The 27,423-nt window shown below is 37.3% G+C and overlaps 1 protein-coding gene across 12 annotated transcripts in view, besides 1 other annotated feature; it reads left to right on the forward strand.

Moving 5' to 3' along the window:
* Nucleotides 1–27,423, forward strand: part of NBEAL1 (neurobeachin like 1) — a 210,587-nt gene that overhangs the window by 94,255 nt on the left and 88,909 nt on the right. For 10 of the 12 annotated variants that reach the window (XM_011511658.4, XM_047445554.1, NM_001378026.1 and 7 more), the window contains 14 exons: nucleotides 1,288–1,420; nucleotides 3,117–3,236; nucleotides 4,153–4,456; nucleotides 7,123–7,208; nucleotides 13,392–13,481; nucleotides 16,490–16,658; nucleotides 17,098–17,231; nucleotides 17,695–17,854; nucleotides 17,962–18,064; nucleotides 18,919–19,075; nucleotides 21,456–21,614; nucleotides 23,111–23,270; nucleotides 24,196–24,284; nucleotides 26,815–27,390. In XM_011511658.4, coding sequence (XP_011509960.1) covers nucleotides 1,288–1,420; nucleotides 3,117–3,236; nucleotides 4,153–4,456; nucleotides 7,123–7,208; nucleotides 13,392–13,481; nucleotides 16,490–16,658; nucleotides 17,098–17,231; nucleotides 17,695–17,854; nucleotides 17,962–18,064; nucleotides 18,919–19,075; nucleotides 21,456–21,614; nucleotides 23,111–23,270; nucleotides 24,196–24,284; nucleotides 26,815–27,390 — 2,440 coding nt within the window. Of the gene's footprint in view, nucleotides 1–1,287; nucleotides 1,421–3,116; nucleotides 3,237–4,152; nucleotides 4,457–7,122; nucleotides 7,209–13,391; nucleotides 13,482–16,489; nucleotides 16,659–17,097; nucleotides 17,232–17,694; nucleotides 17,855–17,961; nucleotides 18,065–18,918; nucleotides 19,076–21,455; nucleotides 21,615–23,046; nucleotides 23,051–23,110; nucleotides 23,271–24,195; nucleotides 24,285–26,814; nucleotides 27,391–27,423 lie in introns of those variants that run through there. The other 2 variants (XM_005246788.3, XM_017004729.2) reach the window with 2 other exon arrangements.
* Nucleotides 1,895–2,061: a silencer, noted in NCBI's record as "fragment chr2:203975480-203975646 (GRCh37/hg19 assembly coordinates)". NCBI's record gives its function as "represses an EF-1alpha promoter that drives an FKBP-Casp9 reporter gene in an ReSE screen in K562 erythroleukemia cells {active_cell/tissue: K562}" and the evidence as "EXISTENCE:reporter gene assay evidence [ECO:0000049][PMID:32094911]".

Below are 27,423 nucleotides of genomic sequence, written 5' to 3' on the forward strand. Positions count from 1 at the left end.
ATGGCAAAACCTTATCTCTACAAAAAATATAAAAATTAGCCAGGTGTGGTGGCACATACCTGTAGTCCCAGCTACTTGGAAGGCTGAAAGGATCACTTCAGCTCAGGAAGTTGAAGCTACAGTGAGCTGTGATTGCACCACTGCACTTCAACCTGGGTGACAAAGCAAGATTGTCTCACACACACAGAAAAAACACTATGAAAATGAATAATGGCCGGGTGTGGTGGCTTACGCCTGTAATCCTAGCACTTTAAGTGGTTGAGGTGGGCGAATCACTTGAGGTCAGGAATTCAAGACCAGTCTGGTCAGTATGGAGAAACACTGTCTGTACTAAAAATACAGAAATTAGCTGGGCGTGGTGGCACATGCCTGTAATCCCAGCTACTTGGGAGGCTGAGGTACAAGAATCACTTAAACCCAGGAGGCAGAGAGACTGCAGTGAGCTGAGATCGCACCACTGTGCTCCAGCCTGGGCAATAGAGTAGATTCTGCTTCAAAAAAAAGGAAAAACAAATGAGTAGTGATATGAGTAATGATTTCTATTCCATTGAATATGCTATAAATATATATAAATATGGTATATATTTATATGAAGGAACAGAAGACCTATGTGTCTGTACATCCAGACTTAAGTAGCTACTACTTTTTAATATGTCTTGTGATTTTTTTTTTCTTAGACAGAGTTTTGCTCTTGTCGCCCAGGCTGGAGTGCAGTGGCACGATCTCAGCCGACTGCAACCTCCACCTCCCAGGTTCAAGCGATTCTCCTGCCTCAGCCACCTAAGTAGCTGGGACTACAGGCGCCCGCCACCACGCCTGGCTAATTTTTGTATTTTTAGTAGAGACGGGGTTTCACCACGTTGGCCAGGCTGGTCTCGAACTCCTGACCTCAGGTGATCTGCCCACCTCGGCCTGCTAAAGTGCTAGGATTACAGGCATGAGCCACCGCGCCTGGCCTATATCTTGTGATTTTAAAGACCTTTATTTATGCTTACTGAATCTTATTTGGAAGAATTTTAAAGATTTGAAAATTAGTAGTTTTACTTTTTTACTTTTACTAGTGGAATTCCACTTTACAAGGCTGCCTTTTATTTACTAAACTCTTATGACCAAAATGGATTTTAAAGGGGTCTTTGAAACAAGGTTGGACTTCTGTGTGGCAATAGAATTTAAGCCACAGAATTGTGGGTAAAGATGTTCATGATGGCTTTATGGTTTTATGTACTTTAATGATGATGAAACTGAACAACCAACTTTAAAAGTTCTGATAATACGTATTTTTTTTAGTTTTTTTACAGGAAGTGGCATGGGTTTTGAAGCCTTTATTACCCATTCAGGTATGTTGGTCGTGGCAGTGTGCACAAAAAGAGAATATGCAACGGTTATGCTTCCTGACCACAGTTTCTGTGATTCCCTCTGGGTAAGGCTTTAGGGCATCACATTTAACTTCTAGTATGGTTAATGGTATTTCCCACCATTGTCATAAATTCAACAGCAGTCATTTTTTTGCTAAAAAATTTAAATGAGGCTGGGCGCAGTGGCACACCTGTACGTAATCCCAGCACTTTAGGAGCCCAAAGCAGGCAGATAACTTGAGCTCAAGAGTTTGGGACCATCCTGGGCAACATGGTGAAACCTGCTATCTACTGAAAAATACAAAAATTACCTGGGTATGGTGATTTGTGCCTGTGGTCCCAGCCACTTGGGAGGCTGAGTTGGGAGAATTGCTTGAGCCCAGGAAGTCAAGGCTCCAGTAAGCTGAGATGGTGCCACTGTACTCCAGCCTGGGCAACAGAGTGAGATCCTGTCTCAAAATAAATAAATAAATAAATAAATAAATAAATAAATAAATATATAGAACGTTAGGATGTCTTAAGGTTTTCTATAAGTAAATTTTCTTTTTTCTTTTTTTTTTTTTTTTTGAGATAGAGTCTTGCTCTGTCGCCAGTCTGGAGTACAGTGGCACGATCTTAACTCACTGCAACCTCTGCCTCCCGGGTTCAAGCAATTCTCCTGTCTCAGCCTCCCAAGTAGCTGGGACTACAGGCACGTGCCACCACACCCAGCTAATTTTTGTATTTTTAGTAGAGACAGGATTTCACCATGTTGGCCAGGATGGTCTTGATCTCTTGACCTTGTGATCCGCCCATCTCTATAAGTAAATTTAATTTTGAATTTCAATTTAAAATGAGATGGGGTGGGTGCTATAACTCACACCTGTAAACCCAGCACTTTGAGACACCAAGATGGGAGGATTGCTTGAAGCCAGGAGTTCAAGACCAGCCTGGGGTGAGACTCTCTCTACAAAAAATTGAAAAATTAGTTGGGTGAGGTGGCACACACCTATAATCCTAGCTATTCAGGAGGATACTGGGGAGTTCAAGGCTGTAGTGAGCTATGATTATGCCACTGCACTCAAGCCTCAGCTATAGAGCATGACCCAATTTCTAAAAAAGGTTTTTTAAAACAATGATAAAATAAAATGAGATGATAGATTGTTTTGTGTTTTTTTTTGTTTTTTTCTTTTGAGACAGAGTCTCGCTCTGTCACCAAGGCTGGAGTCAGTGGCGCCATCTCAGCTTACTGCAACTTCTACCTCCCGAGTTCAAGCAATTTTCCTATCTCAGCCTCCTGAGTAGCTGGGATTATAGGCGCCTGCCACCATGCCCGGCTAATGTTTGTATTTTTTAGTAGAGGTGGGGTTTCACCATGTTGGCCAGGCTGGTCTCGAACTCCTGATCCGCCCACCTCCCAGAGTGCTGGGATTACAGGTGTGAGCCACTGCGCCCAGCTGATAGGTTGTTTTAAATAATGCATTTGTATTGTTTTCTAAAATATAAAATGCTTCTCATTTTTAAAAATGATTCTAAGGAATACTAAAGCTTTGGAAATGCAGAAAAGGTACTGTTACAATTGTGTATATTTTATAGAATATGCTTACGTGCTTTTGTACTACTATGGAAAAAATTGTTACTTTGAGAACATCAATTTAACATTTACGTTTAATCTTAACGTTCTACTATTTGTACAAATTATAGAGCAAACTTCTGAAAGCATTTGTCATTCCAAAGACATAATGTAATTTTATCCTTTAAATGTGTGTTTCACTTTACCAGCACAACATAACTGTTGTCCACATGCCTGGAAAAAGGCCTTTTGGTCAGAGCTTCGTCTATATCTATGACAATGGACAACAGAAGGTTTCTGCCCCTCTCAGATTTCCTGCCATGAATGAAGTAAGTATATCCAACCTACTCTTTACGGGCCCTATTGGTTGAGAATTCTTGAAATGTTTTAGTTAAGGTAGAAGGTTATGTTTATTGTAAATATGTGGCCCCAGATTTTAAAGTGTTTTCTATGTAGTAAGACTCCACACATTAATATTCAATTCTGTCAGCCTGTCATTATTAGATGAAGTCAGACAATGTGAAAAAAGGAAAACATTTAAGGAAGAAACAAAGGCTTAGAAAGAAAGACTTATAACAGGAAAGCCAAAGAAATGAATAGAGCAGATCAATCTATCGTTTAATAAAAGCTCTCTAAGTATGTGAATTACGTAAGAGAATATTATGATGGACTCTTCTAACTTGATTATAATTGAAACAATAATGAAGAAGCTTAAAACCTTCATATTTTAGTTAGGTATAAAATAGAGTTTATGTATTGAAGTGGTTCTCAAAGAACACTAGAGGGCCTTTTCTGAAGATAGTGGAATAGAGTAGATTATTTCTCAAGTCCAAGGATTCAAGTAATTTTTTGTTGGTTTTCATCTCAGTGACCATTTCAGGATAGTTTGTGATTAATATTTATACATCATAAAGAGAAAAAATAGTTTTCTCTATTTTCAAAAACAGTGAAGTTAAAAAAGTTCATAATCATATGCACTTTAAAAATTCAAAAATTACCAAAGAATATAAAATAGTCATAGAAGTAATGCATCCAAATGCTATAGGCCAAGGTAATTTTGCTAATAATTTCCTAAGTATACACATGCGTCTACACTTCATGATTTGGTAAAAATAAAACTGCTTCCACTTTTATTTTCAATGTATTTATTTGTGTAATTTTATGTACTATTTTATTGTGTAATTTTATGTTAAATATGAGGATATATGTTAATTAAAATTGTGTAATTTGTTTGTTTGTTTTTAGCCCTTTACTTCCTGTTGCATTGGTTCAGCTGGGCAAAGAACCACCACTCCTCCACCATCCCAAATCCCAGATCCACCTTTCTCTTCTCCCATTACCCCTCATCGGACATCATTTGGTGGAATTCTGTCATCAGCCTCCTGGGGAGGAACAATTGAAAAATCAAAATTGATTACCAAATTGATATCAGCTGGAACCCAAGACAGTGAATGGGGGTGTCCCACATCTCTGGAGGGTCAGCTAGGATCTGTTATCATCTTTTATGAACCACTACAACCTCCTCAGGTGAAGGCATTATATTTAGCAGGTAAGCATGTACAGTCATAATGCTTAAGCAAATTTAGAGTTTTTTTTGTTGTCTAAATATATTCTGAAGAATATATTTAGAATATAGAAGAATATATTCTGAAGAATATATTTCATGTGAAGAGTGTATTTGTTTTAATTGAAGCTGAAAGGGAAGAAAAAGCCCCTCCACATACCTAATAGTTTTTGTTTTGTAGGCATAAATAAAGCAAACCTTTTTTGGGAAATATTTCAGTTATCATCCATAATACTGCCTGTATTTGTCTGCTAGGGCTGTCATAGCAAAATACCACAGACTGGGCGGCTTTAGCAACAGAAATTTATTTTCTCACAGTTCTGGAAGCTAGAAGTTCAAGATCGAGGTGACATCAGGATCAGGCTCTCACTTCTATATAAGTGAGGCTTCTCTTCCTCGCTTATGAGGTGGTTACCTTCTTGCTGTGTTCTCACATGGTCTTTTCTCTGTGTGCATATGGACGGAGAAAGAGATCTCCTGTGTCTCTCTTTTTTTTTTTTTTTTTTGAGATGGAGTCTGGCTGTGTGGCCCAGGCTGGAGTGCAATGGCGCGATCCCGGCTCACTGCAAGCTCCGCCTCCCAGGTTCACGCCATTCTCCTGCTTCAGCCTCCCGAGTAACTGGGACTACAGGCACCCGCCACCATGCCGGGCTAATTTTTTGTATATTTAGTAGAGACGAGGGTTTAACGGTGTTAGCCAGGATGGTCTCGATCTCCTGACCTTGTGATCCGCCCACCTCAGCCTCCCAAAGTGCTGGGATTACAGGCGTGAGCCACCGCGCCCAGCCTCTCCTGTGTCTCTTATTATAAGGGGTTCTCTCAGACTACGGCCCCATCCCGATGACTTCATTTAATCCCAGTTACCACTTTAAAGGCCCTATTCCAATACAGTCACATTGGGGATTATGGCTTTAAATAGGAAGTTTAGGGGGACATAGTCAGTCCATAACACTGCCAGTACTTTTGACAGATTTTAATGAATTGATGAAACAAAATATAACCGTATCTCTAGAAGAAATTATGTAACTGCTTCCAAAATCATGAGCCTTATTCCAAAACTTGTCATTTTTTCAACTGATATATTAATATATCTGAAGAATTCATGAAGGCAGTAGAATTAGGGAACCTTGGATAAGTTTGCAAACTGTTTTTCATTTTGTTTTGGCTTTTTGTTTTTCTTTTGGCTATGATTTTAAACATATGTACTAATAGTTATTGGATCCTAACTACTTTCAAAATTATATGTATATTCTAACAGGATGTTCAGGAGTTAAGCTTTTAAGAGTTATGTAACTGCAGAATAGCTTCTTATTTGTCTAAATATCTTTTTTAGATTGCATGGGAATTTTGAGATGAATGGGATTGCCCACATTTCAGACTTTATATTAGAACCTTATCTTTTCTTTTCTTTGTTTTTTTTTGTTTGTTTGTTTTTTTGAGACAGAGCCTTGCTCTGTTGCCCAGGCTGGAGTGCAGTGGCTGATATTGGCTCACTATAACCTCTGTCTCCTGGGTTCAAGTGTTTCTTGTGCTTCAGCCTCCCAAGTAGCTAGGATTACAGGTGTGTGCCACCACACCCAGCTAATTATTTTATTTTTAGTAGAGACAAGGTTTCGCCATGTTCGCTAGGCTGGTCTTGAACTCCTGGCCTCAAGTGATCCTCCCACCTTGGCCTCCCAAAGTGCTTGGATTACAGGCGTGAGCCACTGTGCTAGGCCTAAATGATCATTTTTAATGGTTGCATATTTCCTTGGATTCAAGACGTGTTATTTACTTAGGTTGTTTATAATTTCTTTCTTTTTTTTTTTTTTTGGACAGAGTTTTGCTCTTGTTGCCCAGGCTGGAGTGCAATGGCACGACCTCAGCTCACTGCAGCCTCTGCCTCCTGGGTTCAAGCGATTCTCCACCTTCCGAGTAGCTGGGATTACAGGCACCTGCCACCACGCCCAGCTAATTTTTTAGTATTTTTAGTAGACGTGGGGTTTTTACCATGTTGGCCAGGCTGGTCTCAAACTCCTGACCTCAGGTGATCCTCCCGCCTCAGCCTCTCTAAGTGCTGAAATTACAGGTGTGAGCCACCATGCGTGACCAGATAATAATTTTTGTTTGTTTTTGTTTTTGAGACAATATCTCACTCTGTTGCTGAGGACAGAGTGCAGTGGCGCAATCTCAGATCACTGCAACTTCTGCCTCCCAGGCTTGAGTGATCTCTCACCTCCTGAGTAGCTGAGACTACAGGCACATGCCACCACCTCTGGCTAATTTTGATATTTTTTTGTAGAAATGGTGTCTCACCATGTTGCCCAGGCTGGTCTCAAACTCCTGAGCTCAAGTGATCCACCTGCTTCAGCCTCCCAAAGTGCTGGGATTACAGGCATGAGCTGTGGGATTACAGGCTGTACCTGGCTGATAATAGTTTGTTAATACTATATAAAAAAAATTTTCTGTAATGGAAATTGATTTATTTCCCAATTTTTGTAGGTTTTAGATAAACTGGAATATGGAAACAAAGTAAATTTTAGCTTAATGAGTTTCAGCTGTGTTGTTTGAGTAGCTTGAAACAGCTTAATTTTAAATTTTATTCTGATAACACAGAACCAAGGAGACCATATATATTCAATGGTGTGTATGTGTGTGTAAATAATTTTCAGGTCCAAATTGTTTAAGCCCTTGGAAGTGTCAAGAGTCTGACATGGCCGACCTGCCTGGTAACATCCTTCTTTACTACACAGCAAAGGTCAGAGTAAATTTGTGAACTGTCCATCTAGTTATAACTATGTTGTGAACTGCAGTTCCTTTTCTATTCCTTTTGTCATTTCATTGGGTAATTAAAAGGAGGGGTTTGAATTGCCATCAAAATAATCATGAATTTTCAAAGGAAGGTGAGAAGCAGTAAAAATTAAGGTATACCTCCTCCACGAGGGTCCAAATATTATCATTATGTCATCCCTGTGGTACTAATGGCAATAGTTACAGTTGGAATTTGTACCGATGAATTGACTTCAGTAAGTGAAATTGTTTGTGTTTGTATTCTCATAGTTTACTGGAAGGAAAGATGAAACAGAATTGTTCTCAGTTTTTTAAATGTGATGTAGCCAAAAATTTTAAAAAAAGAAAGAAAGAGAAGAAAAAATGTTCACTTCAAAAGGAGAAAAAGGCCAGAAGGCACAGTGGCTCACACTTGTAATCCCAGCACTTTGGGATGCCCAGGTGGATCGTTTGAGGCCAGGAGTTCCAGACTAGCCTAAGCAACATAGCGAGACCCCTGTCTCTATAAAACTTATGAAAAATGCCAAAAAAAAAAAAAATAGCCAGTTTTAGTGGCATGCGCCTGTAGTCCCAGCTACTTGGGAGGCAAAGGCGGGAAGATCCCTTGAGCCCAGGAGTTTGAGGCTGCAGTGACCTGTGATTGCACCATTACGCTCCAGCCTAGGCAACAGAGCAAGACCCTGTCTCAAAAAAAAAAAAAAAAAAGGGGGGGGCCCAGCACAGTGGCTGTGGCTCTTGCCTGTAATACCAGCACTTTAGGAGGCTGAGGTGGGCGGATCACCTGAGGTCAGGAGTTCGAGACCAACTTGGCCAACATAGTGAAACCCGTCTCTACTAAAAATACAAAAAATTAGCCAGGCTTGGTGGCAGGCACCTGTAGTTCCAGCTACTTAGGAGGGTGAGGCATGAGAATTGATCGAACCCGGGAGTCAGAGATTGCAGTCAGCTGAGATCGTGCCACTGCTCTCCAGCCTGGGTGACAGACTGAGACTCCATCTCAAAAAAGAAAAAGAAAGTAATAAATTATTATCATGCACAAGCTGGCTAAACTAGAAAAAGATATACAAAAATGTATAATCTCGGCCGGGCACAGTGGCTCACGCTTTAATCCCAGCACTTTGGGAGACCGAGGCGGGCGGATCACGAGGTTAGGAGATCGAGACCATCCTGGCTAACACGGTGAAACCCCGTCTCTATAAAAATACAAAAAATTAGCCAGGCGCGGTGGCGGGCGCCTGTAGTCCCAGCTACTCTGGAGGCTGAGGCAGGAGAATGGCACGAACTGGGGAGGCGGAGCTTGCATTGAGCCGAGATCGTGCCACTGCACTCCAGCCTGGGCAACAGAGCGAGACTCCATTCAAAAGAAAGAAAAATGTATAATCTCACAAAACCAAAACATTTTCTGAGTCCATGTAACATTGAGTATAATGGAAGCAATTAATATTTTTGCTACTTCTTTTCTTCCTCCCAGTTCTTTTGTTTCTCCCAGTTCTTTTGTCTTTTTTTCCTCAGTCCTTGCTGACCTCAGTTGCTTTTATTAGATAAGTAAAAGGAAAAAGGACTTTTTTCTACTCCACCACCCCACACCGTTTTTTTGGAGACAGGTTCTCAGTCTGCTACCCAGGTTGGAGTGTAGTGGTGGGATCATGGCCTACTATGGTCTTGAACTCCTGAGCTTAAGTAGTCCTCCCACCTTCAGTCTCCGGAGTAGCTAGGACTACAGGCATGTGCCACCATGCTGAGCTTTTTTTTTTTTTTGTATTTTTTATAGAGACAGGGTCTTACTCTGTTGCCCAGGCTAGTCTTGAATTCCTGGGCTCAAGCAATTCTTCCACTTCAGCTTCGCGAAGTGTTGGGATTACAGGAATGAGCCACCGTGTCTGGCCTTACTTTTAAATATTTATTTTTTGTATCTGACCTAATAAAATTTGCTTATTAGTTTTATTTTCTCCCTTCTTTTTGCTGTGATACATTTCAAATCTAGAGAGGAGTCAAAAGAATGGTAAAGTGATATCCTATATACTCTTCACCTAAATTAACCAATTACTAATGTTTTACTGTACTTGCTGACTTTTGTCTCAAATCATTTGTGAAAACGAATTGACATAACTATCAAGACACTTCATCCCTGTATATTTCTACATAATCATCTACCTACCTAAGAAAATGGCCCATAATTCATCTAATATATACTCTGTGTTCAAATTTTTCCAAAAATATTTGTATAGCCTTTTAGAAATGAATCCTGGATCCAAAGTTTATGCATTGCATTGGTTATAAGGTCTCTTGAGTCTTATATTTTTGTTTGCTTTGTATAACTTCTTTTTCCCAAAGATACATGTTTGTTTAATACATCTTATGTTATTTCTTGGCAGGAATTGTATCTTACACCTATTTTCATTCTCCACTATATAGCATAGATAGCTAAGAAATAATTGCATATAATCCAAACAGTATATTTAGTGGCAAGTTCTGGATGTGTGACAGCCAACTTTTTTTTTTTTTTTGAGATGGAGTCTCGCTCTCTCACCCAGGCTGGAGTGCAGTGGCGCAATCTTGGCTCACTGCAGCCTCTGCCTCCCAGGTTCAAGCGATTCTCTTGCCTCAGCCTCCCAAGTAGCTGGGATTACAGGCACGTACCACCACACCTGGCTAATTTTTGTATTTTGGTAGATGGGGTTTCACCATGTTGGCCAGGCTGGTCTTGAACTCTTGACCTCAAGTGATCCGCCCGCCTTGGCCTCCCACAGTGCTGGGATTACAGGCATGAGCCACCGCACTGGGCCTGACTGGTCTTTTTGACATTATGGTCATCGTATTCTTTTTACAAAGTAACTTTGAATTTGTTAACATTAAAGTTGGATTTTTTTTTTTTTTTACCATTGAAAGTAAAAAATTCTATACTACCAAAAAAATAGCTATTGTCTTGTTTTTCCCCAAGAAACTTAATATGACTATTGATAAATACAATAAAACAGATTACTGAAGGAATGTTTCTGCAAAATGGTGCTATGTCATGAGACAGGGACTCTATAGTTAAATAAATTTGGGGGACTGTTGGATTCTATTTTTTTTTTTTTTAAAGACAGGGTATCACTCCCATTACCTAGGTGGCCGTGCAGTGGTGCAATCATGGCTCATTGTAGCCTCATCCTCCTGGGCTCAAGCAATACTCCCACCCCATTTTTTGATTTTTTGTAGAGACAAGGTCTCACTATGTTGCCTAGGCTGGTGTTGAACTCCTGGGCTCAAGTGATCCACCCACTTAGGCCTTGCAAAGTGCTAAGATTACAGGCGTGAGCCACTGCATACGGCCTGTTGCTTTTTTTTTTTTTTTTTTTTGAGACGGAGTCTCGCTCTGTTGCCAGGCTGGAGTGCAGTGGCGCAATCTTGGCTCACTGCAACCTCCGCTTCCTGGGTTCAAGCGATTCTCCTGCCTCAGCCTCCTGAGTAGCTGGGATTACAGGCATGCGCCACCACACCTGGCTAATTTTTGTATTTTTAGTACAGACGAGGTTTCACCATGATGGTCAGGCTAGTCTCGAACTCCTGACCTCAAGTGATCTGCCCGCCTTGGCCTCCCAAAGTGCTGGGATTACAGGTGTGAGCCACCGTGCCCGGCCCAGTTGCATTCTTTATATCCCTCTTGGAGGTTAGTGATACATTTTTAAAATTCTGCTATAAAGGAACCAGTTTACTTTTGTTTTGTCCTACTGTTTCACCAGCTATTTGAGCATAGAACATATTTTGTTATTATAACTTAGTTGTTAACAAATGCTAGTTTGGGAAAAGCTGCTCCAGAGGATTTTTAAAATAGTCAACAGTTTTTTTTGTACTCAATTGTAGGAGGTATTTAATCATTCATTTGCTTAAAACTTATTGAATGTCTTCTTAGTCCAAGAATTATGCTATACCCTTACAATACAAAGATAAATAAATAAAAGTCTCTGTCTGTAAGAAGCTTACAATCTAAAGCAAAATAAATTTTTTAAAAAATAAGTTCAACATAACTTTATGAGCATTTATTTTTCTTTTTAGCTACCATTTATGGGGTGTTAACAATATGTTAAGCACTATGCTAAGTATTTCACGTGTATTGTTTCACTTAATCTTCACAAAAGCCCTGAGAGGTATATGGTATTATTGGTTATCTTTTCTAAGCTTTAGTTTTCTGAAGCTCAGTAAGATAAGTAACTTGCTTAGACTCATAATTCCATTGAATCCTGGAGTTAGAACCCAGCCTGTTTAATTTATATCCTTAACTAATATACAATATTTCTTTGTTGGAATAATGTACGGAATAATGTACAAATTAATAGTGAGGGTACAAATGAGGAGTGGTTTGTTGTTCCAGGAAGCTAGAAAATCATAAAGAAGATGGTATCATTTGTGTTTTAAAAGACAAGGTTGAGCAGGGATGCATGGTAAATATCACCTAAAAAGGCATAGACTGTAAAACTGGGTTCTACATGTGTTTGGGTATAGGACACTGAGCAAGAGGAGATGAGACTAGAGAGCAAGGTCACATTAGAGCAAACCTCCTATGTCAGAGTAGATAATAGGCAATGGATAGAATTTTTAGCAGAAGAGTAATATTATCGGATTCGCATTTTAGAAATGGTCTTAAGCTGCAGTGTGAAAGTTGGATTGGAGGAATGGATTCTAGAGAGTGTCATACCATTAGGAGATTATTCTGTTAAAACAGGTCATAGATACACAGTTTTTAGTTACAGACTAAAGTAGTAACTAGAGAAAGACGTGTCTGTCTCGGAGACGGATAACGTTTAAGTATTTGTTTGATTAAAGCAATTTTTCTCAATTGTTTAAGAGGAAAGCAGTAACTACATCATGTGCGCTAAAATTTGTAGGTTTACTTTCTTTTGGAATGGGGATTAGATTAGATTCAAGGATGCTGCATTACCTGAAAATTCGGATTGAATATGAAGTTAACATGCCTTTACGAATGGAGGTTAGCAAATAACACTGTTTCTAAAGTTACAGACTAAGCTCTTACTCTGAATGCAGCCAGAATTGTCTGGCAACAACATGAGGGAAAATAGTATCTTATGCCTGTAATTGTATTTTTATATTATGATTTTTTTTTTGTTCTATGGTTTATCTCTCATTTTAATCACACGTTTTATGTGTATCTTGAAATTGTGCCTAGGGAAGTGCTAATGGAAATAAAACATTGAATTTTTTTAAAGCAAAAAATCTGTTTTCATGTATTTGTTTAAAAGAGAAAAATTTAAAAACTATGACTGGCGAGGCCGGGTGCAGTGGCTCATGCCTGTAATCCCAGCACTTTGGGAGGCCGAGGTGGGTGGATCCCTTGAGGTCAGGAGTTCGAGACCAGCCTGGCCAACATGGTGAAACCCCATCTCTACTAAAAATACAAATTAAGCCAGATGTGGTGGCGCACCACTGTAATCTCAGCTACTTGGGAGGCTGAGGCAGGAGAATTGCTCGAATCTGGGAGGCAGAGGTTGCAGTGAGCCAAGATCACACCACTGCACTCTAGCCTGGGTGACAAGAGTGAGACTCTGTCTCCAAAAAAAAAAAAAAAACATCACTGTGGCTGGCGAACAAGTTCTGCCTATAGCTCATCTGTCAGATGACAAGTAGCAGTGACCTACTTTTCTAAGTGGGTGCTTTAGAATCTAATTCCTGATTCTTTCTTTTTTATTTTTATTTATTTTTTGAGACAGAGTCTCACTCTGTCACTGAGGCTGGAGTGCATTGGCACCGTGTCGGCTCACTGCAACCTCCGTCTCCTGGGTTCAAGCAATTCTCCTCCCTCAGCCTCCCGAGTAGCTGGGATTACAGGTGCCCACCACCACACCCGGCTAGTTTTTATATTTTTAGTAGAGATGGGGTTTTACCATGTTGGCCAGGCTGGTTTCGAACTCCTAACCTCAGGTGATCCACCTGCCTCGGCCTCCCAAAGTGCTGGGATTACAGGCATGAGCCACCACGCCCGGCCCTGATTCTTTCTTTTAAAACAGAACAGCAATACTAAAATTCATATTATGGGCATCTTATCTTTGACTATCCTATATTCCTTTTTGTATTATGGTGAAATGTTCTATATGTGGTTAAATTTATGTTTTGTTCTAATTGGTTGTTTGCCATATTTTTCTTTTATTCTTAGGCCTGCAAAAATTCAATCTGTCTTGATTTATCTACTAATTGTTTGCATGGAAGATTAACAGGAAACAAAGTAGTGAACTGGGACATTAAGGTAAATTAATAGTAAATGTTGGGCAACATCTTACATAATTTACTGATACTCTTATTAAGGATTTTGTTTTTAAAGCACTGCCAGATTGATCTAAATAATAGGTCTCAGTTAAAGGGTTATGCAAACATACAATTTGAAGGGTAAACAAATGCAAAGTTAAATGACTAACATAGTTGAATGACTTTGGTTTGAAGTATAGTTACCTTTGTAAGCTACAGCAGGTCTTTGGATAATGTCGTTCATTATAAAGTCAGTGAGAAAAAAATTGATTCCTGGCAGGGGCAACTGTCTGTGTGGAGTTTGAATGTTTTTGCCATGTCTGTATGGGTTCTCAAATCTTATTTTCCTTTTTCATTGGCCTCATATTTATGTCACAGCTGGAACTTTGCTTCCATCTAGAGGCTTCTACTTACTTTCCAAGACCAAACTGCTCTTATGGGTATCCCTAGCACTTTATTATTTCACTTACCATGGCAAATAGTAACTGCTTGGTTAATGCTCTAGTAGTCCAAAAGAACTTTGAAGGAAGGGTCACTGCTTTTTTCTTTTTTTTAATCAGTTCCTGGTACAGGGTTATGCAACAAATAAGTGTTGACTGAGTGATTAAATTAGTAAAGGTTGTTTAGGGTGAGAAAGGCTTAATTCTTAAATATAGTGTTTCCTTAAATGATATTTTAAATAGAAGTTATAACCTAAGTTAAATAAAAGAAATATAAAAGATAATTATAAGAGGGCTTGCCGGTAAATCAGGGAAATAAAAGATAATTATAAGAAGACTTGCTGGTAAATCAGGAAAAAAAAAAAAACTTTTCTAATCAGTTAACACCAACCAAATACGTTTATTATTTCAGTGAAAAGAAATCATTAAGATAATTTTGCCTATGTAGAAATTAATCTATCAATTAGTGTTAATTTCATGTTATTCATGATATATAAAGGATTTTTCTCCTTAATTTTGGTATAAGAACACTTGTTCTTTTTCTTTTCTTTTCTTTTTTCTTTTTTTTTTTTTTGAGGCAGAGTTTTGCTGTCGCCCTGGCTGGAGTGCAGTGGATCTCGGCTCACTACAACCTCTGCCTCCCAGGTTCAAGCGATTCTCCTGCCTCAGCCTTCCAAGTAGCTGGGATTATAGGCACCTGCCACCACACCCAGCTGATTTTTGTATTTTTTAGTAGAGACAGGGTCTCACCATGTTGGACAGACTGGTCTCGGACTCCTGACCTCAGTTGATCCGCCCACCTTGGCCTCTCAAAGTGCTGGGATTACAGGCGTGAGCCACCATGCCCGGCCAGAACACTTTTTTTTATCTGTTACCATAGTAGGATTTATGACATGAATGACACTTCATAAGTTAACTTTTGCTTTACTTGTAAGACTGGTTTTACAAAGCTGATTCCATGTGGTATTTTATATATAGAAATCTGTTTATATGTACCATACATACCTGAAAATCAAAGCCGTTTTTTTGTGGCCTGAGTTACAGCTATGTGGATTATTAACTAGTTAGACTTTTGGCTAATGTGGAAATCAAAAAGCAACAGATTATCAAGAGAAAGGCGTATTTTTATACTGTAGCCAAATCAAAGACCAAAAAAGTTAAATGACAACTGGTAAAATAATATTTGCCTTCCAAAAAGTTAATTTACTTATTTACACAAAGAGCTCTTCAAAACTGGTATGACAAACAGTCAAAACAAAGTAGAAGATATGAGGCCAGGCACAGTGGTTCACACCTGTAATCCCAGTACTTTGGGAGGCCATGGCGGGCAAATTGCTTGAGCTCAAGAGTTTGAGACCAGCCTGGGCAACATGGCAAAACTTTGTACAAAAAATACACACGTTAGCTGAGTGTGGTGGCACATGCCTGTAGTCTCAGCTACTTGGGAGGCTGAGGTGAGAGGATCACTTGAGCCTGGAAGGTCGAGACTGCAGTGAGCCGTGATCAGGCCAGTGCACTCCAGCTGAGTGACAGAGCGAAACCCTGTCTCAAAAACAAACAAGAAAAACCCAACAAAGTAGCAGATATGTAGGATGAACAAGTCCAGAGATCTAATGTAAAACATGAGGACTATAGTTAATAAAATTACATTTTATTAGGGAGTTTTGTTAAATAAGTAGATTTTAGCTGCTCTTGTCACAAAGTAACTATGTGAAATGATAGAAATGTTAATCTGCTTCACTATAGTAACCATTTTATTATCTATGTGTATCCTACAACATTATTTTGTAAACCTCAAATATACACAATAAAATTTATTTCTAAGAAAACAAGCAAAGAATGTGAAGAGGTTGTTTGAAGACTTAAGTTATGTCCACGTGGCAATTCAGAACACTTTAATAATTAATAATAAGAGCAAACCTTGTATGGTATCGACTGTATGTCAGAGACTGCACTTTTTATATATTAGCTTACTTAATCCTTGCAATACTTTATGAAGTGGGTGTTACTATTATCCTCATTTTACAGATGAAGAAACTGAAGCCAGTGATATTAGTAACTTATCAAAAGATATAGAAAATATTTTATTAAGCTACCCAAAATATCCAAAACTTTGAACTTTGCCTGAAATACCCTCTCTACCTTTTTGTTAACTAAAAGTCGAGGAGTCAGTCATATTTCTACCACCAAATGCATTTTTTTTCATTGTTTATTCTCTTGTTTATTATGCCTAATTGCCTAGTGACAGTTGTTTTTCCATTGTTGGAGTTACATTATAAAGTCCACTTATGGGGCTATGTTTCATTTGCCTATGTTCGAAATCCCTAAAATTTGGAAAATGAAGATGGAGTAAAAATGGTCTGGCCTGATCTCTCTTGAGTTTTGATTATGGTGACCCTTGAGGCTGCCCTGTAAAGCATCTTCCTACACAAAAATTCCTTCAGCTTAGGTTATCCTGTACATTGCTCAAAGGTTTATCTAGCAGATTATAACTTCATACATGTGAAGATATTAAATGACAAAATTGTCCTCCTTTTATAAGATTTAAACATTATAATTTTCCCTTTAGGATATCATAAACTGCATAGGTGGGTTAAATGTACTCTTTCCTTTATTGGAACAAATCAGCCACTTTAGTGAAGGACAGATTCCTGAAGAAAAGAATGAAAGCACAGTTCCTGAATCAGTAACACCTGTTGAAGGAGATTGGCTCGTATGGACTTCCACAAAGGCCTCAGGTATTAAGATGAAATTAACACAAAATAGTCATTGAGAAATTTGAGAATTAATTGAGAAATAAATGAAAATGTTTTACTGTCATTAGGAAGAAACTTAACCATTTGTAGCTGTAGCAGTTGTTTCTACTTTTACTAATATCATTCAGAAAGTTTATAATACTTTCATCAAAAAACGACAGATTAATCTCCAGTATCCTTAGTTTATACTCTTAGTGGAAATATGACCACATTGTTAAATTTGTGGTAGAGAAAATATGTGCACATAAATATACAATATTATAGTTGCTGCTTTTTCTGATTCTATTGTACAATAGAGCGTTGGAAGCTGACTGCTGAACCAGATTTCTACTTTGTGTAACAGTGTGCATTAAGATATAGAAAATGTGATATAAAAGTGATTAGAGAAATTATGATAATTAATATGTTCCTGATTCTACAGAGTCAAGACTAGAGAGAAACCTAGTTGCAACATTTATCTTAATTGTGAAACATTTTATTCAGAGACATCCTATCAACCAGGGCAATCTTATTCACTCCCATGGAGTTGCAACTCTTGGTGCTTTACTTCAGAAGGTGAGCCAGTCTAACATTGTGTTGATGTAGCTAATAATTGTGATTTGCAGTTGATGTTGGGATTTTTTCTTCCTAATAAATATATTTTTAAAGATTATTACAACTTGAATTATATTAATGGATATAATTTGTTCACAGGCAGCTTTTAAAAACTTGTATGGAATCATCTTATACAAGAAATACTTATTTTATGTAATAGTGTATAATCTTTGATGTATACAACCTTGTTTGATAGCTTTGATATTTGGGATGTTGAGAAATATAAGACTATTTTAGGAATATGACACTAGGAGAATATATTCTGGTCTAATATCAGAAAAACCAATACTTAAGTTTTTATTTTTCTAATGTGGGTTTTTCTATTTTTATACTTAGTAGATGTTCTGATTAATGATTTAAAATTATAACTTAATGACAGTTATTTAAACTGAACTATATGAAACCCTCTTCTGTTTGGTTTCAGGTGCCAAGCACCTTGATGGATGTTAATGTGTTGATGGCAGTTCAGTTACTAATTGAACAAGTATCATTAGAGAAAAATATGCAGCTCCTGCAACAAATGTATCAATATTTACTCTTTGACTTTCGTATTTGGAACCGTGGAGATTTTCCCTTTCGAATCGGTGAGAGCAGGCTTTCAGATAAACATTTTATAGTTGTTTTAGAAATTTATAACTACCTATTGACTTTATTTTAGCTGAATTACTTACCATTGAACTTTTTATTTTAGGTCACATACAGTATCTTTCAACCATCATTAAAGACAGCAGGAGAGTTTTCCGAAAGAAGTATGGTGTGCAGTTTCTCCTAGATACACTTAGGATTTATTATGGGTATGATGCCCTTGTTCTTTCTCAGTTTGATATATTATTTTCTGTCTGCTACTTGATTGGAATGTGTAGACTGTAGACTTTCTCTTTACCAGCGATTCTAGTATGTTTTAACTGGAGAGAGGTAGGATACAGTGGAGGTTAAAATGATGAACAGTGGATCGCATACACTGAGTTTGAATCTGGCTTTCATTAATTGTGCAACTGTAGGCAAATTACTCAACTTCTCTGTGCTTGGGTTTCTTCATTTTTGAAAGGAGATAAGAAAACTGTTACCTCCTTTGGTTGTTTTGAGGATTAAGTTAATTAGTTAATAATGTAAAACACTTAAAGTATGTCTGCTATGCAGTGGGTGTTGTATTCACATAAGCTATTTTATTCACTGAAACTCTTAACTCAGAAGATTTTCCTTAAAAAGAAAAGCAAGCCAAAGTTACTATGAATCTCAGAATTACATGGAAATATTTTTTTAACACTATGAATTCTTTTATGTAGAAAATATAGAAATGTAAAAATTAGGCTGGGCGCGGTGGCTCACGCCTGTAATCCCAGCACTTCGGGAGGCTGAGGTGGGCAGATCGTGAGGTCAGGAGTTTGAGACCAGCCTGGCCAACATGGTGAAACCCCATCTCTACTAAAAATACAAAAATTAGCTGGGCGTGGTGGCGTGTGCCTGTAATCCCAGCTACTCAGGAGGCTGAGGCAGGAGAATCGCTTGAACCCAGAAGGCAGAGGTTGCAGTGAGCCAAGATTGTACCACTGCACTCCAGCCTGGGCAACAGAGCGAGACTCCATCTCAGAAAAAAGGAAATGTAAAAATTAAAATTTCAATTCTTATACTTTGTTTTGTCTTTCAGGAATGGTTGTAAATATAATGAACTATCTCTAGATGATATTCGAACAATAAGGACTTCTTTGTATGGACTAATTAAATATTTTCTGTGCAAAGGTGGATCTCATGAAGAGATACAAAGTATTATGGGGTACATAGCTGCTACTAATGAAGAAGAACAGGTATTATGCCTAAGATACATCTACTTTTCCTTTTTAACATTTGAGTTGCTACATCATCTTCTGAACGTATGTTTGTGTCTAGTTAAATATTTTGAGAGTAAAATATGTGTAGTGTCACATTCAATATTATGCACTTAAGAAGTAAATTTTATCTTTTTTTTTTTTGAGATGGAGTCTCGCTCTGTCACCCAGGCTGGAGTGCAGTGGCACGATCTCGACTCACTGCAACCTCCATCTCCCAGAAGGAGAAGTGGTTCTCCTGCCTCAGCCCCCTGAGTAGCTGACATTACAGGTGTGCACCCCCACACTGAGCTAATTTTTTGCCTTTTTTTTTTTTTTTTTTTTTTTCCGGTAAAGACAGGGTTTCACCATGTTGGTCAGGCTGGTCTTGAACTCCTAACCTCAAATGGTCTACCCGCCTAGGGCTCCCAAAGTGCTAGGATTACAGGCGTGAGCCACCACGCCAGGCCAGAAGTAAATTTTATCTACTAACTAAATTTTTCATAAAATAGATGACAGTGTAATTTAATATTCCAATTAGCTAGAAAATTTAATATATGGAAATGTTTCCTTTGGCAATTCTGAAGCCTGTTTTCATAGTCTGCGTGGTGTATGTTTACTTAGCATCGAAGTTATCATCAAAGTTAGTGGGTAGATTTCTTTCTTTTTTTTTTTTTTTGAGACAGAGTCTTGTTCTGTCACCAGGCTGGAGTGCAGTGGCACAATCTCGGCTCACTGCAACCTCCGCCTCCCAGGTTCAAGTGATTCTCCTGCCTCAGCCTCCCGAGTAGCTGGGACTACAGGCACGCAGCATCACACCCAGCTAAGTTTTGTATTGTTAGTAGAGATGGGGTTTCACCATGTTGGCCAGGATGGTCTCCATCTCTTGACCTCGTGATCCGCCCGCCTCGGCCTCCCAAAGTGCTGGGATTACAGGCATCAGCCACCATGCCCAGCCATTAGTAGGTAGATTTCTAACCTAGGTTAATAAAATATTACATAAAGAGTAAATTATAAATGTGTGTCTAGTTTTACTTACATTATCCCGTTTAATCCTCAGAACTACCCTTTAAGTTAGTGGTTCTCTTTGTTTGGCCCCTAACCAACTTTACCTGAAAACTTGTTAGAAATGCAGATATACTACTGATTCAACTGCTGAACCAAGCCCTCCAGATTATTCTCGTGCACGTGGTAAAATTTGAGAACCACTGCTATAACATATACAGACCAGGAATTACTTTTTGCATGTACGCTTTTGGAAATTTATATTCAGAGAGATTATGTGACTTAAAAAGTCACACAACTGATAAACCTGAAACTAGAACCCAAATGTTAAAAAAAAGCATTTTAGAGCCATTTTTGTGCTCTTCTGGTATAACCTCCGCAATACCACAAATTTAAGTAGATTTATGTTGACTAGGCTATTTTGCCCTCTATATATAATATTTATTATTTACTCAGTGGTTACATGACTTCATTATCGGTATTAGATGAGTTAATGCAGGCTGTTTCCCTATAAGGTTGCCGCTCAAAAGCTTCTCATTATTCCCATCTTATTTCATGATAGCTGTATCTATGATTCATTGCCAACAATATTTTTTTTGGTTATTTCAGTTAAAGAGTTATTTGTTGAGGACTTACTGTTTACACACAATAATATTAGACATTACATGTAATATAATGATGAATTATTATTCTTTTAAGCTAATGGGGCAGGGGTCAATAAGAGAAGTTTACAAATAACTATAAACAAAGAAGAGTATGACAATATCTGTAAGAGAGATACAAAGTTCTATGAGGTTTTCCCAAGAGGGTTTTACATGTTGCAAAGACCAGGAAAGACTTTATGGAGGAGATGTCTTTTCATATGGATAAAAGAGGATAGATATGGTTCCAACAGGTAAATTTGAATAGTGAAAGGATATACTAAAGGAAATTGAATAAGACAAAAGCATATCTGGTTCAAAAGATATCAGAGGCCAGGTGCAGTGAGCTGGGTGGATCGCTTGAGCCGAGGAGTTTGAGACTAGCCTGGGCGGCATGACGAAACCCCATTCCTACCAGAAATACAGAAAATCAGCCAGGCATGGTGGTGCACACCTGCAGTACCAGCTACCTGGGAGGCTGAGGTGGGAGAATCACTGAGCCTGGGAAGTCGAGGCTGCAGTGAGCTGTGATCACGCCACTGCACTCCAGCCTGGGTGACAGAGGGAGATTCTGTCTCAAAAGAATTTTTTTAAAAAGACATCATATCAGATATAGTGAAGTTAAGATAAAACATTATATAGGATTTAATTAAATAACTTTTGTGGCTTATGACCTTATTTGTGCTTGTATATATGAATGTGGTGGTTTGTTTTGTGTTGTTTAATTTTAAAAGCTCTTTGGAATTTTGGACGTGCTCTTCAGTCTCCTACGTACCAGCCCAACCAGAGGTCAGCTTTTCTTACTGCTTTTTGAACCAGGAAATGCTGACATACTGTACGCATTGCTCTTAAATCAGAAGTACTCTGACAGACTAAGAGAAATCATTTTTAAGGTACAAACATTTCTTAAACATCTTTGTATTTTGAGGCGTTTGTGGGTATATGAATTTTCTTGCAATATATCCATTCTGTGACTATAAATTATTTTTATATCTATTTCTCTAAGATGTTCAACTTATTTTTATATATAGTTTTCATGTTTCAGTTGTTTGCATATTAAAAAACTAATTATATTGTAATCTGAAAATCCTCTCAGTGGAATATTCACTTTGTCATACCATCCTCAATATAAAACCTCCCATCTTCTTGACTTGGTGGGTCTATGTGGCAATTCAGAACATTTCAACAGCTAATAATAATAGCAAACTTTATGTAGCAACCACTATATGTCAGGAACTAAGTACTTTTCATATATTGGCTTACTTAGTCTTGCAATAACTTCATGAAGTGGGTATTATTACTATTATCATTTTACAGATGAAGAAACTGAGTCCAGAGAGATCAGTAACTTATAAAATAAATAGAAGAGTTGCTTCACAAATGTTTACTTATCCTTGAAAATTATTTTAATTTTAATAACTGTTACTTAAGTGGATTATTAGATTGATCCAGAGGTGTACTGACACACATTTGTTCTTGCAAACTACATGGTTTGTTTCCACCTAAGCCTTTCTCATTAAGAAACAAAATTTTAAATTATTTCTCTTTAATTTGCCATGTAATTAAACTAGAGTTTTAAGCATACCAATTATACAACTACAGATGAATTTCAGTCCAGTTTATTCTTTTTTAAAATTTGTTTATTTTTTTGAGACGGAGTCTCGCTCTGTCGCCTAGGCTGGAGTGCAGTGGTGTGATCTTGGCTGACTGCAACCTCTGGCTCCCATGTACATGTGATTCTCCTGCTTCAGCCTCCTGAGTAGCTGGGACTACAGGCACGCATCACCACACCTGGCTAATTTTTGTATTTTTAGTAGAGACAGGGTTTCACTATGTTGGCCAGGCTGGTCTCGAACTCCTGACCTCAGTTGATCTGCCTGCCTCAGCCTCGCTAAGTGCTGGGATTACAGGCATGAGCCACTGTGCCCAGTCCAGTTTATTCTTAAATCCATTTTTACATTATACTATAATAGGGAGTGCCTATTCTTTTATGCCTATTGTTCCATTATTGGAACACTAAGCATTTGGGAGTTATTTATATCCCACTGCTCAAGGTCATCACCAAGGTCTGACTTTTCACACATGTCTGCAATTCAAAAAATTGCAACCTCCGGCATAAATGGGTTAATGCTGAAGTTTTTGTACTTAAGGAATAAAATGATGCTCCAAAAACAAAGTATAGCCATGTTTTATTCTATAAGTTAATAGCATTATTTTATTCTATAAGTTAATATTGCTATAAGTTAATAGCAATACTTACTAACATTAAATATTAATGCTAATAAATACTAACATTAATATTTAATGTTAATAAGTTAACATTTTTAATGTTAAATGACAAACTATTCTTAATTTTCTATATTGAGAATATATTACTTGTCGTGACCAGATTATGGAACAAATGTTGAAATGCACGAACGTTTATGAGCGTAGTAAACAACATATTCGACTCAGAGAAGTTGGCTACTCGGGACTGGGACTCCTTCTTAATGAAGCACTTGTTAATACTTCTCTTATTAAAAACCTCACCCATCAAATCATAAATACAGGTATGAATAAGGCTAATAAAGCTAACATATTTAAGAAATGTTTTTTCCTGTAAGTTTTTTTCATACCTTTCTCAGGCTGCTTTTAAAATATCTGTTATTTGATTCAGCAGGGCCTTCCTTGGATACCATATCTTACGTAGTTTTGTTGTTTTTGTCTCCCCGGGGCGTAGCACAGTTCCTTACTCAGTAAATGTTTATTGACTAAGTGATTAAGTTAATAAGTGAGTCCACGGAACAAGAAAAGGACACTACAGAAAATATGTGCAAAAGATTGTTTTTTCTTAAGGAGCTTAAATTTTTAAAGGCAAATGAAAACTAATTTCAGATATTCTTTGTTGTTTCTTTTGTTTGTTTTGTTCTGGTTTTTTGGTTTTTCTTTTTAGAAACAGAGTCTTGCTGTATTGACCAGGTTGGTGTGCAGTGGCTAGTGACAGGTGTGATCATAGCTCACTGTAGCCTCATACTGGATGCAAGGGATCCTCCTACCTCAGCCTTCCAAGTAGCTGGAACTACAGGCATGTTTCACCATGCCCTGCTTCTAATTTTTTTAAATAATTTTTTTCAGTACTTAATGACAGACAGTAGAATTTATGCCAGATGCTGGGAGTTTGGGGATATAAGATTCTTTGTCTTGATTAGTTTACAATCTTGTTGATAAGACATGTATATAAAAAGATAAATAATAATATAAGAGCCATGCAGTATGGACAGTACGTTCAAGCAATCAAAAGGAACAATTATTTAGGGTTGACTCAGGAGGATGTCAAACATTCTAAACCTATTTTTTCTTTAAAATTTGAACATACCTATAATTCATATTTTAAAATGAAATAATTATTTCAGCATTTTATACAAGTATTATCCACAGTTCTTTCTTTGGTTATCTCTGGTATTTAATTTTAACTTTTTGTTTTTCCTACCATAGATCCTGTTATTAATTTCAAAGATCTACTATCTGTGGTATATATATCTCACAGAGCACATATAAATGTTAGAGTGGCCATCTGCAGAAAGGTCAGTAAACTCTTAAGATATATTTTAATGATAGCAGCATCACCATCATGCTATAAATAACTTTGCATTATTTTGCAGCAGATACAAGTTTTCATTTATTTTATAAATGACGTAATTTTATAAGTAAACAATTTTCTTTTTGAAGTAAATTAACTTCATGTTATCATAAGAAATTAGCATGTGAATGTTTTCTTAGTTCTTCGTGGTCTCCTGCAAATATGTTCTTTCCAGAGTCAAAAATGTATTACCAGAGAATAATTTTCTTATTAAGAACCTTCAATGATTGTGACCATTTCTAATTAATATACCATATTATAGAGTTTCTGAATCTTTTGAAACTTTCTGGAAATAATTTTCTATAATTTGTTTAGGAGTATTCCAACAATGATTTGTCTTTAGTACACAGTTAACCTTTAACTAAGTCAAGAGATAGTTATCCTGTCTTCCCCTTTCAGATCATAACTTTCTCTGTCCTCCACTAGTAACCATTGACCTATTTAATTTGCTTCCTTGCTTTTCTTTTTTTTATTTTACCTCATGATTTTGTCACAGTTCTTGATATATATATATATATATGTGTGTGTGAGAATAAGAGATCTCTATATATAGAGTTTATATATATATACACATATATACACACACATATATAATTTATTTGTTTAACTGACAGAAAAGAAAAATATATATATTTGTTGTATAATATATATGTATAATTTCCTTTTCTCTTTAATGGAAATGCATAGTGTTTCATTGTATGGCTATTTAATAAAGTATTATCTGGTTCCTTATTGATAGACATTTAGGTTGTTTCCTGCTTTTCCATGTTATAAACTGCTGTTATGAATGTCTTTTTATGTTTTCCAATTTGTGGTAATACATCTGTAGGACATACTCCATGAAATAGAATTGCTGTTTCAAAGGGTATTAACGTTTTACATTTTGATGGATTTTTCCACATTGTCCTTCAAAATAACTGTACCAGTTTACATTTATACAAACAGTGTGTGTGACAGTGATTATTTCCCTATGTACTTAGCTCTGAGTATTTGGAGCAGGTCATATAAATTGATCCTTTCCTTTTCACGTATAATTAGAAACAGCTCTCAGTGCAGCTTGGTTTTATCTATTATTTATGTATAAAATAGATATAAAATAAGTCATATTTTATGGAAACTTTAAAGTCAGCATGAAAAGTTTCTTTGCCAAGTAAAGCTTAATCTGGAAGAAAAAAATTGTTATTCTGCACCTATAAAGTAACAGTTGCTCACTGATTGATATTGTATTAATAAAGAAAGAATCTTCACGTCATTGTGACTCCTTGCCTTCTGTATCAACATGTATTAGTACTAGTAATATTGAAGTCCTTACCAACATTGTTCATCTCTTGCTCTGAAAATTGTCAGAGCTAAAACTTCTGTTAAGAGAGATACTCAAAACCCTGGAAGCTAGAGTTCTTTTCATCTACATAGAAGTTTATTGACTTTGTGATAAAATTGTCTTAAAAGATCTTAACTGAATGTCTAAAGCTTTTTAAGAACTTGTTTTTATCTAAAAATTTTAATCAATTGGATAGTAGAGATCATACGTATTCTCATGTCACTGTTTACTATTCTAGCTAAGCAGTGGCATCCATCTTGCTGAAATTCATTTTCTGGAATTAAAGTTTAGTTTTTGTTCTGTTTGTATAATATAGACTTACTAAGCAATGTAGACTTTAGTGTAGACATACTGAACAAAAAAGTTTTTGCAAAAGCAACCATGGCTCATGCCTGTAATCCCAGCACTTTGGGAAGCCGAGGCAGGCAGATCACAGGAGGTCAGGAGTTCGAGACCAGCCTGGCCAACATGGTGAAACCCTGTCTGTACTAAAAATACAAAAATTAGCCAGGAGTGGTGCTGTGTGCCTGTAGTCCCAGCTACTCGGGAGGCTGAGGCAGGAGAGTTGCATGAACCTAGGAGCCGGAGGTTGTAGTGAGTCAAGATCGCACCACTGCACTGGTGCGACAGAGCAAGACCCTGTCTCAAAAAAAAAAAAAAAACTTAACTTTCCCTGAAAAAAACGAGACAGAAAAACATCCTTGGTATACTCAGTTTCTATCAAAATGTCTTATGTGTCCTATTCACTCCCCTAATGCTAGTGCCTAAAACTGTGCCTAGCACATAGTAGGTGTGCAATAATATTTCCTGAACAAATGTAGGGGGCTCATGGAAAGTATTTAGTTGAGAGGATATTACTCTATTATTTAACATATACCATCATCCTATTCATTTTAATTTTTCTTTTTTATCTTCCAGCAGATATTTTAGTGTACTCTTACTCTGTACAATGAGTAATATGGAGATTAGTTGGAAACACAGTGCCAGTCTTCCAAATAGTTTATAATCTAATTAAGAATATAATCTTTTGAAAGTATATTCTTCTATAGTTTCTCATTAAATTACCTTATCATTAAAATAACTGAAAATATTATTTTTGATATAAAGTACTATGTACTTTTTGAAGAATTTTGTATTCTAAATCTTTTTACAGGTTTTGCAAATTTTGCAGTTCCAGCCAGATGCAGCACATCAAATATCACAGCAAGTGGGTTGGCAAGACACCTTAGTTAGGCTTTTTTTAAAAGCAAAATTTGAAAACGGAAATACTCTTCATAAGCACAGTAGAGCTGTTTTAATGAAAGACAATGATAAAAATATGTCAACTGAAGATACCAAGAAGAACTCTGATGAAAAAACAGATGAGGAAAAAATCACCTCTTTTGCCTCAGCTAATGTGTCTTCGGATCAGTGGAGTTTGGAGGATAGACACTCTTTAGACTCAAACACACCATTATTTCCAGAAGATAGCTCTGTGGGAGAATTGTCTTTCAAATCAGAGAATCAAGAGGAATTCTGGCATAGTAACCCTTCACATTTGAGTTTAGACCTCAGTGGAATTGACTCATGTGAAATGAGTGATAGTGGAAGTCAAGTGCCAGACAGTCTGCCTAGCACACCATCCCCAGTAGAGTCTACTAAATCGTTTTCTGTGCACTCTGACAGAGAAAGCAGCATCACAAATGATATGGGCTTTAGTGATGACTTCTCTTTACTTGAAAGCCAAGAGGTAAAATTGCTTATTTTTCCAAATGTTGTTTTT

This window comes from Homo sapiens, chromosome 2, assembly GCF_000001405.40.
Source record: "Homo sapiens chromosome 2, GRCh38.p14 Primary Assembly".
NCBI lineage: Eukaryota > Metazoa > Chordata > Mammalia > Primates > Hominidae > Homo > Homo sapiens.